This window comes from Homo sapiens, chromosome 12 (genome assembly GCF_000001405.40).
Source record: "Homo sapiens chromosome 12, GRCh38.p14 Primary Assembly".
Lineage (NCBI taxonomy): Eukaryota > Metazoa > Chordata > Mammalia > Primates > Hominidae > Homo > Homo sapiens.
The window spans coordinates 21319877-21332707 of record NC_000012.12 but is presented as its reverse complement, the minus strand read 5'-3'; the positions used below and the strand labels follow the sequence as shown (position 1 = coordinate 21332707).

At 39.5% G+C, this 12831-nt stretch overlaps 1 protein-coding gene across 42 annotated transcripts in view, besides 1 other annotated feature; it reads left to right on the top strand.

Moving 5' to 3' along the window:
- Window positions 1–12831, top strand: part of SLCO1A2 (solute carrier organic anion transporter family member 1A2) — a 155035-nt gene that overhangs the window by 86927 nt on the left and 55277 nt on the right. For 23 of the 42 annotated variants that reach the window (NR_170341.1, NR_170340.1, NR_170343.1 and 20 more), the window contains exon 1: window positions 7949–8114. The exons of 15 other annotated variants lie outside the window; for them this stretch is intronic. The gene's annotated coding sequence lies outside the window, so the exon portion shown is untranslated. Of the gene's footprint in view, window positions 1–7948; window positions 8115–9318; window positions 9431–12831 lie in introns of those variants that run through there. 4 more of the 42 variants (NM_001386922.1, NM_001386952.1, NM_001386926.1 and 1 more) reach the window with 1 other exon arrangement.
- Window positions 7738–8255: an enhancer, noted in NCBI's record as "NANOG hESC enhancer chr12:21477387-21477904 (GRCh37/hg19 assembly coordinates)". NCBI's record gives its function as "activates a minimal SCP1, AML or CMV promoter by ChIP-STARR-seq in naive and primed H9 embryonic stem cells {active_cell/tissue: H9 hESC(naive and primed)}" and the evidence as "EXISTENCE:reporter gene assay evidence [ECO:0000049][PMID:30033119]".

The following is a 12831-nucleotide window of genomic DNA, read 5'->3' as shown; positions in this document are numbered from 1 at the left end:
GTGAAGACACAGTGAGAAAGATGGTAGTTTATGAATCAGTATATACAGCCTCTAAGCCACAAATAAAATTCAACCCTCCCACCCCCTGCTCCCAGCACTGAATGGACCTCCTCTTGGTCAAGAGCCTTCCAAAGTTAGTCTAAAAAACAAGTTTAGGCTGTTATGGGAAGGAGGTGTTGGACATGCCTCTTTATACCCTCCTCTCTTTTGGAATTCAGGAATAACCAACCATCATTAACATCAACACAGACCTTAAGTCTGATAAGAAACATTTATATCCATTCTCTATGAAGCCTGCGTATCTAGAGGCTTTATCTGCATGATAAAACCTTGGTCTCCACAAGCCCTGATTGTAAACAGGAAATAATTTTTTATTATTGATAATAACTCTTCCAACCAATTGCCAATCAGAACATTTTAAAATCTACCTGTGACCTGCAAGTTCCTGCTTTGAGTTATCTTGACCTTCCCAATTGAACCAATGTAAATCTTACATGTATTGATTGATGCATTATGTCTTCCTAAAATATATAAGAGCAAGCTGTACTCCACCTTGAACACATGTTTTTAGGACTTCTCTGAGGCTATACTGTAGGCATGCCTTAACTTTGGCAAAATAAACTTTCTAAATTGATTGAGACCTGTCTCAGATACTTTTGGGTTCACAAATTAGCAGCCATGAAAGGATTCTGAGTGGAGGTGCCCCTGACCTTTGATGAATCTCCTGTGGGTACTTGGTACCAGCCTGAGCTATCCTTATGGCTCAAACTGATAGGACAATTTGCTGAGGCCTGGGAGCCCCCACCCACTCCAGAGAATCCCCAATCCCCTAAATTTGGTTAAGATCTAAAATTTATTTTTCTCTACAACTCCTATTTTTTAGTTTTACTTGTGTCCAACAAAGAAGGCAAGTTTTCCTGCTTCCATGACAATGGAGCGTGGGCAACTCCTTTCTGGAGTTTCAGCTAATTTCCAACAGGGAAGGCAAGTTTGAGCTTTTTTTTTCCTGCCTGTAAGATGGTAAACAGCAGTCTTGAGCCAGGGTCTCATTCCTAGATAAGTAGCTGAGTTGGGTTTTTTTTTTTATCTCAGCGATTCTCCTTAATGACTAAAAATTAGAATTGACAGCCGGCTAGTCTTAATTTCTCCTTAGCATTAGAGTGCTCAGTAATCATATTGTTGGGGTTTTTTGTTGTTCTGGTGTTTCTCCCATCAGATTTGACCAACTGTACCCAACTTGGCCAAATTCAAATGAGAATTCCAAATTATGAGCAGCCAGACCTCTGAAGCTGCTAAAATTCCTCATAACTGAAAAAAAGAAAACAAACAAATTATGCGCTTGGTTTCTGTTGCAGCTTCCTGTCTTAAAAACACAATTGTTCTTTCATTTTCTTTTCTTCCACACTATTTCTCCTTCCCCCTTCACTGTCTGGTACCAAAAAAAATCTAGAGAAGCCATCAAATGACTTGAACCCCTTAAAACACTCAGAACAAAGGCATCACTCACCCTTTCTTTCTCTGTGGAGTTTCAAGAGTCATGGGCAGATTCTTCTTAAGGTCTAAAGTGTTCTTATTCAAAGGTAAATTATTTTTGTCTAATTCAGAGGTTATTTAAGGATTATATATAAAATGAGGTAAAAAGGACCAGGAAATAAGAGATGTAAAGAAAGTTATAAAGAGGTATTTTTGGTAAGAAAGCTTAAAAGAAAAGTAATTTTATATGAGAAAGAATCTTGCATGATGAATTTTTGTCCTAAGATAAAATGACTCGTTCAAGAAAGAGAAATATTTATGTCAAACCAGAAAGTCCAAGCATGTTGTAAATGGTCTGTGTAAGTTGTAATAAGGTTAGTAAAACAGGAATTTGTTAAAATGTTATGTGATTCAGTTGGCTACAATTAAAGGAAATTATAATAGTTTTTCTAAAAATTGAACTTTGATATTAAAAGTACACTCATGCAACACTAAAGAACTGGTTAGAACAAGATTTATTAAAAATGTTGAGTTACTCTTAATGCAAGGACTTTAAAATTTTTGAATTCTATAATCTTTTTCTTTTTAAAATTATTTAGATTGATATCTCAGAACCTGTGCCCTACTGCTTCAGTTTTTTTCTCTTTTGAGAAGGCCTGGAATGGTAACTCTCTCCTTCAACTTTGTTTGGCTCCTGTAACTTTTTACTTTTATTTTATTTTTTTTGAGGCAGGGCCTCACTCTGTCACCCAGGCTGGAGTGCAGTGGCACAATCTCAGTTCACTGCACCCTCAACCTCCCAGGCTCAAGAAATCCTCCCCTCAGCCTTCTGAGTAGCTGGAACTACAAGTGTGCACCACAAAGCCAAGCTTTTTTATTTATTTATTTATTTATTTTGTATTATTTATAGAGATGGAGTGTCACATGTTGCCCAGGCTGGTCTCGAACACCTAGACTAAAATGATCTGTCTGCCTTAGTCTCCCAAAGTGCTAGGATTACAGGCATGAGCCATGGTGTCTGGCCTTTTTAAGTTAATAGTTGAAACTAAGAAACAGAATTTTTGAAAATAGGCAAATGAAAAATATTTTGGATCTGCTTTTGTCTGTATGTCTGTTATAGCTATATGTTTATATGTGTCATGTAGAAGTAATATTTCACTACCAAATTATATTAAAGACCTCTAATCACTTGGCTAAAAGAAAAATAAGTGCTTTTCAGACTGAAGGAAGCTACCAAAGATGCCTTTTAATTCATATGACCTTAGTAGTTTTGGGTAAGACTAATCTGGTAAATTTAATCTCAAAATTACCTCCAGTAGTTTAACATCTTAAAGTCATGTTATGTTAAATTAAATAACTCCTATTTTTTTCAATGGGAATCTGGGTTACTAAGAGTTAAAATAGTAGGAGAGTAAATAGTGTTTTTGGTAAAATTTATAAAAATACAATGATGTAGCTTTTGCTAAAGAATTTTTTTTTCTAAGAGTTATTTTAAGTAAAGATAAAAATATTATATAGATAAAACTAAATGGATAAAGAGAGAAATTAAAAGATGAGTGAGGAGAAACCTTGACTCCAGGGTGGCCATGTGGTTACCTATGGTAGGGAGATGCAGCTGAGCTACATTCAATTACAAAAGATAAAATTCATTAGAATTTAGAGATGGATTATGCTCCCGAGGAGTTAGCTCTCTAAATGCATAAGGAGATGCAAACTAATAAAAAAAAAAAAAGCAAAAATATTCAATCCCTTGGTTATTGTTATCTGTAATTGCTAAATGAATGTACAAGAATGCTGGGTTGATCCTTAAGGCTGGATCAGGCCCAGAGGTGGGTCTGTCCCAGCTCAAGCCACTAGACTCCAAGCTACCCACAGAAAGAAAAATTAAACCAGAGCAACAAAAGTTACCTCTGAGAGCTGTGGTTACCAAGAAGATAGTCAATATGTGGGAAGGGCAAAACCAAGTAACTATTAAAACCAGAGGGTATAATGCAAAGTAATTGTTCCATTTTGTAGATCAATATAATCAGCTTCTTGAGAAACCTTAACTACTTTAAGGAAAGAATCCTTTATTTTGAAGGCTACAAAATGAAAGAGCTTGTTTGGGTTGATGCAGGATTCACAAATCACTATTAAATTGCTGATGAGTATATGTGATCCAAATGTATACGAGGTTATTCATAAGAGAACAACCTGCCTAACTGACTGGATAATTGCTACTGTAAGGTCTGTTTACTCTGGAAATGGGACTTCCCAACCATCCCTATAAAATGCCAAGTGGAGCACCCCAGATAATGTAGTTGATATGCTTCATATGCAAGCCATGTGAAACTGTCTTTATAACTGGGATATTCTCCCATTGAATATGACTAGTATCCAGTTCAGTGCCCTGTAACCTCTCCCCTCCCCTTTGCTCACTGTCCTGGAGTGGCACTGGCCTCTGAAGTAATTCTTTTTTGGTCTTGGGACTAGTTCAGGGGAAACTGGGTGGGGGAAATCCCTCCTGCCCTAAGTGCAGTTGGACTGTACAGAATACTCCAAAGGCCAATGGTAGTTCAGCACAGAAAGAGGGAAGGCCTCCAAGTCAGAAAGAGCTCCAGAGACCTCATGGTATTGTAGGGCAGGGTGGTGGGCCAAGGTTAGGACACTGCATAAAACAGGCAATCCCACCACCTCTACCTGCTCACGCCAGGAGAATCCATAACTGCCTAGAGGCCTGAGACCCCTACAAGTAGTAAGGTGAATAGGCATCTATCCAGCCTAGCAGTAGGATTGATGTCTGTCCAGCCTGGAAGAGGGGCACTAGGTGACTCCCTCCCCTTCTGTTGTAAATACTATAATTATCAGATAATTTAAGTTATTCTCATTTGTAACTGCATTTCTGGTTCAGGCCAGAGTCATTTGGTATTTAAAAAAAAGACTGAGTCCTTTCCCCATTTCTCTTCTCTTTCCCATAGATTCCTCCACCTTTCAAACTGTTTTGTATCTATTTCAAAGGAAGATATCCCTGAGACTGGGTAATTTATAAAGAAAAAGGGGTTTAATGGACTCACAGTTCCACATGGTTGGGGAGGCCTCACAATTACGACGGAAGGTAAAGGAGGAGCAAAGGCATATCTTACACGGTGGCAGGCAAGAGAGCATGTGCAGGGGAACTGCCTTTTATAAAACCATTAGAGCTTGTGAGACTTATTCACTATCATGAGAAAAACACAGAAAAACTCACCCCCATGTTTCAATTACCTCCCACAAGTTCCCTCCCATGACACATGGGGATTATGGGAGCTACAATTAAAGATGAGATTTTGGTGGGGACACAGCCCAACCATATAATTCTGCCCATGGCTGCTGCCAAATCTCATGTCCGCACATTTCAAAACCAATCATGCCTTCGCAACAGTCCCCCAAAGTCTTAACTCATTTCAGTATTAACCCAAAAGTCCTAACTTAGGAGCCATCAAAAAAAATCAAAAGCAAGTTAGTTACTTCCTAGATACAATGGGGATACAGGCATTGAGTAAATAAACCCATTCCAAATGTGAAAAATTAACCAAAATGAAGAAGATGGAGGCCCCATGCAAGTTTGAAATCCAGTGAGCAGTCAAACCTTAAAGCTCCAAAATGATCTCCTTTGACTGCGTGTCTCACATCCAGGTCACACTGATGCAAGAGGTGGGTTCCCATGGACTTGGGAAGATCCACCCCTGGGACTTTGCAGGGTACAGTGCCCCTCTCCTGGCTGCTTTCATGGGATGGTGTTGAGTGTTCTGTGGCTTTTCCAAGTGCATGGTTCAAGTTGTTGATGGATCTACCATTCTGGGATCTGGAGGATGGTGGCCCTCTTCTCACAGCTCCACCAGGCAGTTCCCCAGTGGAGACTCTGTGTGGGGGCTTCAACCCTACATTTCCCTTCCACACTGCCCTAGCAGAGGTTCTCCATGAGGGTCCTGCCTCTGCAGCATACCTCTGCCTGGACATCCAGGTGTTTCCATACATCCTCTGAAATCTAGGCAGAGGTTCCCAAACCTCAATTCTTTACTTTTATGCACCTGCAGGCCCAACCAAAGCTTGAGACTTGCACCCTCTGAAGCAGTGGCCTGAGTGTACATTGGCTCCTTCTGGGTCCCATGGCTGGGACCCAGAGCACCAAGTCCAAAGACTGGACAAGAAAACCATTTTTTTTCCTCCTAGGCCTCTGGGCCTGTGATGGGAGGGGCTACTGTGGAGACTTCTGACATGTCCGGGAGACATTTTCCCCATTGTCTGGGTGATTAACATTTGGCTTCTCATTACTTACGCAAGTTTCTGCAGCCATCTTGAATTTCTCCTCAGAAAATGGGTTTTTCCTTTTTTATCACATCATCAGTCTCCAAATTTTCCTAACTTTCATGCTTTGCTTCCCTTTTAAACATAAGTTCCAATTTCAAACCATATCTTTGTGAATTAATAAAACTGAATGCTCTTAAGAGCACCCAAGTCACTTCTTGAAAGCTTTAGTTTGAAATTTCTTCCACCAGATACCTTAAATTATGTCTCTTAAGTTCAAAGTTCCACTGATCTCTAGTGCAGGGGCAAAATGCTGCCAGTCTTTTTACTAAAGCATAGCAAGAATCACCTTTGCTCCAGTTCCCAATAAGTTCCTCATCTCCATCTGAGAACACCTCAGTCTGGACTTTATTGTCCATATCATTATCAGCATTTTGGTCAAAGCCATTCAACAAGTCTCTAGGAAGTTTCAAACTTTCCCACATCTTCCTGTCTTCCGAGCCCTTCAAGCCTGTAGGAAGCTCCAAACTTTCCTACATTTTCCTATTTTCTTCTGAGCCCTCCACACTGTTCTAACCTCTGCCTGTTACCCAGTTCCAAAGTCATTTCCACATTTTTGGGTATCTTTACAGCAGCACTCCACTCTCTGTACCAATTTACTGCATTAGTCCATTTCATACTGCTGTGAAAAAATACCTGAGACTGGGTAATTTATAAAGAAAAAGAGGTTTAATGAACTCACAGTTCCACATGGCTGGGGAAGCCTCACAGTCATGATGGAAGATGCAGGAGGAGCAAAGGCATGTCTTACATGGTGGCAAGAGAGCATGTGCCAGGGAACTGCCCTTTATAAAACCATCAGATCTTGTGAGACTTATTCACTATCACAGAACAGCATGGGAAAACCCACCCCTATGATCCAATTACTTCCCAGTGGGTCCCTCTCACAGCATGTGGGGATTATGGGAGCTACTATTCAAGATGAGATTTTGGTGGGGACACAGCCAAACCATATCACATGGTAAATTTGGAGGTTAAGTGCTACATGGGCACTCCAGGTGACATTACTACCACAGAATCACAGACTGATCAAATTTGCTGTCCTCATGGGTCTTACAGATGCTTAATAAAACACTGGGGTAATTAACAAAGAATAATGAGAAAGGCAAAAGGGAGTCAGAGGACTCACCCCAGAGGGTGATTAAAATATTTGGACGTTTTATAAGAAATGAAATAAATAAAATGAAAATTGATGGGGTTGAAACAAAGGTCTTTACAACACTATCAAGGGTTGAGTGGACCAAAGGGAACCCCTACTGATCCTCCAACATTAAAGGGCCCCATATCAGTTTTCTGCATTTGCCCCAGATTGGGGAAATTGAAGAAACAGCAAAAGGCAAAGGTTATAATGAGGGAGCTGAAATTGCCTGGGGCAAATCTGAGGCAAATTAAGATGAAGATTGAAAAAAGAGCCCAAGTCCCTTGGCTCAATCCCTTGCTGGGAACTCAAATCATTTTTCACCAGAAAAAGTAAAATGGTCTGGGGGTAGAAAAGAAAAGTTCCTCAAACCAGAACATAAAAATGTACAGGTTGATAGGATTATGAAATTTGAGATGTCTAAACAGCCTTTATGTAAGGTAATTTTAACTTCTTCACCTAAATATCTTGTGAAAATTGGTATTGTATCTGATTGGGGGATGTTTCTCCTATCAAGTACTATGAAACTGAAGTCATGTAAATGTGCCCTTTGAGGAATGTTAATTGGACACACTAAATGGAAACTAGTAAGATTGCCTGAGCCTACACAATGTAGGGTAGAAGCTGAAGGGCTAGTAGGGACAAATTCTCCACTTCATATCCATTTGTGGAGCATTTATTAGGGCTTATGGTAAAAGACTGGGAGCACTTCCCAATGACAAATACTAGACTAGAGAATTTCCAGTTGAGGGACATTTACTGCCTTGTTATGGAATGTTAACTGAAGCTACCCCTTTGCTAAAGGAAATAATGGTACCCCAAAGAGTTCCATAATAAAGTAAAAATTGTTTGCATAGGATCTTGCTACCTGAGGATGCAGAGGAGATACTTATGAGCAGAGAGCATTCTTTTTCCCCTAGGGCTGACTCTGACTCTGTAAGGAGCTGCTAGATTCTACAGTGCCTGGTAAACAGCTCTCATATAACAAGAACTGCTTAGCATGTGAATGGCAATTCAAGGTGAACAAAGGACATGTTGTTTGGAAGGCTGATGCTCTGGTTAAAGAGTCAAGAGAATCTTTTTCTTTTAAATTATTTATTCTTTAGAGCAATTGGGTGAAGTATGTTTTTATGAGCAAATTTACCTTTCTCTCCAAGTTCTCCCAAATTTGGAAACCGTGAGTATTCTGGTTTTATGACAATATAGTTATTTGCATAAGTTTAGTAAGAGTCTTTTGTTTTATAACAGGACAATTGGAGACACTGATTATTTTACCAAGTCTTTGACTAGAATAACATATTTGCAGGTAAATTTCCAGCAAAGCCAACTTAAAAAGAGCCTATATGGTCAGTCAATTTCTTGCTGCACTTTATGCAAATAATCAGGCCAAGTATAATAAGCCTAAAACTTATTTTTACACACAAACTGGTCTTACTATAATTTCTCTTTAATAGAAAAGGAGGGCTAGAGAGAGAGAAAAATTGTTTCAAAGGAAAAATTTAACACTTGTTACTGGATTTCAGCCCTGACTTTTGTTTTTGAATGCAGATTGAATCATGAATTATTTCTTGGCTATAATAATCCTCTAAAGAGATAGCGGATTATAGTTTTTCTTTACATTTTTAGTTGAATCCCTAATGAGATAGCTTCCATTTTCCATTCTGACACACAAATACTCTTTTGATTGTCAAAATATTAATGTTATTTATCTCTCCTTGGTTTACTTCCAAGGAAACTGGAATGATGGTATTCTCAAGACTAGAGATGCAAATCTCTCTCATTTGTCATCCCACTGAGCCCGATCTGTTTTTCACTGCAAATGCCCTTCTGTTAAGACTATACAAGCACCCTCCCTCTAGGCCTAAGGACTGTTGTGGAAGAGGTGGGTGTGTGAGATTGTAAGGGCTAGGTTTGAGGAAGTGAATTAGTTCAGATCATCCAAACCAAGGATGGGTACACGATGCCTAAACAGCTGGTAAAACAAAGTTTTTTGCCCTCTGAGCTATTATGAGGCATCTTTTCATCCAGCCCAACCATGAAGAATGTCATGCTATTTGTAGAATTAAAAGAAAATAACTACTGAGAGGATAAAGATACCTTGTGACAAAGCCTTCTGGATATAAGACTCCCAGTTATGAGCTGTGCAGATAGATAGATATGTATTTTTAAAGTTTATTTTCATTTATTTATTTCTTTTTTTGAGACTCACTCAGGGTCTTACTCTGTCACCCAGGCTGGAGTGTAGTGGTGCCATCAAGGCTTACTGCAGCCTTGACCTTCTGGGCTCAGGTGATCTTCACACCTCAGCCTCCCAGGTAGCTGGCACTACAGGCATGCACCACCATACCTGGCTAGCTTTTTGTCTTTTTGTATTTTTTTAGAGACAGGGTTTTGCCATATTGCCCAGGCTGGTCTCAAACTCCTGGGCTCAAGCCATGAACACACCTTGGCCTTCCAAAATCCTGGGAATATAGATGTGAGCCACGGTGCCTGGTCAGTATATATTAAAAAATTATTTTTCAGAGCAATGCTTATGTTTTGTGTAGCTAATTGCTATAAGTCCATAACTAAAACCAAGATTATAGTAGCTCAATGCATAGAAGTTAAAGATAAGTCAGTTTTGTAACCTGGCCTTTGGCTTTCTGTTTGTTGACTTTTTACTGAAAAAAATTTAAGGGGTAATGAATACTTGTCCATGTCCATTCCTATCTGGCCTAGAACATTTAATTTGCTATAAGTCTTTTGACTCTAAGTACCTTGGCCATAGGGGGTCCCACTGAGGGACAGGGTGGATCTCAAGCAGGCAGCCATGCCACCCCCACAATGGTATGAGACAAAATAAAAATTTGGTAGACATTGCTGTTGCCTCTGGCAAATCTTAGGTGGAAGAGGGAGAATGTAAAGCAAAAATAAAATTCTGAGGACCCCAACCATCTGAATGGACCCTTCCTCTCAGCCAAAGGCATTCCAAAATTAACCTGAAAAGCAAGTTTAGGCCATGATGGGAAGGAGGGGTGGGCCAGACATGCCTCATTGTACCCTCTTCCCTTTTGGAATTCAGGAAAAAACCAACCAGAACTAACATCAACACAGACTTTAAGTCTGACAAGAAACATTTACATCTGTTGTTTCTGAAGCCTGCTACCTAGAGGCTTTATCCGCATGATAGAACCTTGGTCCCCACAAGCCCTTATTATAACCCAGATATTATTTTCTATTGATAATAACTCTTCCAACCAATTGCCAATCAGCACATTTTAAAACTTTAAAACTACCTATGACTGGGAACCCCCTGCTTCGGGTTGTCCTGCCCTTCCAGATTAAACCAATGTAAATCTTACATGTACTGACTGACGTATTATGTCTCTCTAAAATGTATAAAAGCAAGCTGTGCCCTGACCATCTTGGGCACATGTTGTCAGGACCTCCTGAGGCTGTGTTATGGCCACATCCTTAACCCTGGCAAAATAAACTTTCTAAATTGATTGAGAACTGTCTCAGATACTTTTGGGTTCACAGGCATCAGCCAACCCAAATTTGTTAGTGCCTTGCTCTTGGACTTTCCAGTCTTTGGAACTATGAGAATTACATTTCTGTTGTTTATAAGCCACTCGGCTTAGGGTATTTTGTTGTAGCAGCCCAGATGGATGAAAACAGTATATTTAATCTTATTTGATTTTATTTTACTTTCAGCTCTGATTTCTTCAAGATGTTTTTGATACTTATTCTGTCATTAATTCAATAAACTTGTATTGGGTGCCTGCTATTTGTCAGGCACTTAGTAGGCACCAGGGCCACAGGGGTAAATAACATATGGCTCCTGTATCTGACTTGCTCTCAGAATAATGAGAGAGGAACTTATAGACATCTAAATCCATAAATAAAGTACACTGTAATAGAGGTTGTAATCAAGTTAGGCACACAGTAGGGTGGGAAGATAAAGAATGAATGAATGGTTAGGGCTTACCTGGGGAGCACAGAGGCAAAAGAGGCCTCACAATGGAAGTAATAAAATACCTGAGTCTTGAGAATGAATTATATATTGACCAGGTGAACAAAGGGAAGAAAGGCATTAAAACTGGAGGAATATTATACAAAAGCACTGACCTATAAAATGGCAGGGTTAATTAACACAGCTACATGTAGAACACTGTGTCTAAGGACAAGCAACAGGAGATGATACTGAAATACAGATGAGGCTTTGTTTACCATCTTAAAAATCAGAGATTTTTGTTTATGGGAATTACTGAAAAGTTTTAAGAAGTAAAATTTGCTAACTATGTATTTTATTAATTTATTTGACAAAAAATTATGATCCAAATTAGTGGAGGTGGCGTGTGAAAGAGAGGTTGGAGGTAGACAAGGCTAGAGGAGAGTAAACAGGATTTCAATTGTCTGAGCTAAACTGTTCATACATATGAGAGGTTTCATCATACGTGTGGTAGTTAAAAGCATGGATGAGCATGAACTTCCTAAAGACAGCATGCATAGCAAAAGGGTAGGGAGTACAAGACAGAGGCCTGAAAGGGTTGACCAAAGAAGAGAGAAAGAATCGAGCAGTTAGTCAGAGATATAGGTATGCATGGGGGAGGGAATTTCAGGAAGAAAAGAGAGATCAATAGTATCAAATGACTGAGAGTCACGAAGTAAGATGGTAATTCAGACATAGCTTGTGGATTTGGGATATTTGGGAATCAGGAAGTTGTTTATGACCTTTTATGGAGGTAGTTTCAAGAAACACCAGCCTGTAGCAGACTATAGGGTGGATGGAAGGTTAAACAGTCTAGAGTCTAGACCATTCTTCTAAACAGCTTTGTGGTAGCTAGAGTAGCTAACCATCAAGGCTGAGGGAAGGTGTTTTGTTTTGTTTCATTTTGTTTTTTTCTCAAAAGGCAAGAAATGCCTTGGATATATTAATAAGCTAGTGGGGAAACAAGCAATAAAGGGTGTGAGGTTGAAAATAGAGAGAAAAGCCTGGGCATGGTGGCTCATGCTTTTAATTCCAGTACTTTGGGAGGCCAAGGTGGGCGGATCACCTGAGGTCAGGAGTTCGAGACCAGCCTGGCCAACATGGTGAAACCCCGTCTGTACTAAAAATACAAAAGCTAACCGGTCATGGTGGTACACACTTGTAGCCCCAGCTACTTGGGAGCCTGAGGTGGGAAAATTGCTTGAACCCAGGAGGTGGAGGTTGCAGTGAGCCAAGATTATGCCACTGCACTCCAGCCTGGGTGACAGAGTAAGACTCTGTCTCAAACAAAACAAAACAACACAAAACAAAACAAAAAAGAGAGAGAGAGAAAAGAGCAATAACGGATGAATTAGAATCTCGAAAATGGGAAGAATGGATTCAAGAGCAAGATTGGAGGGATTTTATGTACAGGAAAGGGACACCAATCTTTCTAAAGACATAGGCAAATTAGAGAAGGTAGGGATAGAGGTAAGTTTGCAGGTGAAGTTGCTGATATCATTTGCTGATCATGAAGAGAGAGAATGTGGCTGGGTTGGAGACTGAGAAACAGAAAAGGTTGTGAGTTAACTTGAAAGGAATATGTGAGGTAGAAAATAAGTTGTGTGATTGGCTCAAGACTGGAGGTGTGGAAGGTGGAAGGTGTGAGAATTTTAAGAATTTGAGTGTGCTAGGTAAATAGTAGGTCAAATGGTCTCCCAGGTTGCAAGTGTCATCAGAAACTGTCTTCAATAGGACCAAGCAAAAATCTCTATGGCATGTGACTGAAGACCACCATTCAAGTTGATGTAAATCTATCTATAATTTGTTCATTTTGAAGCAGTAATTAATCTACCTAACTATACTATTACCAGTATACAGTGCTCCTGTTTTAAAACCTCTTACTAAAAGCTATCTTTTTAAATTTAATTTTAAAATATGAATT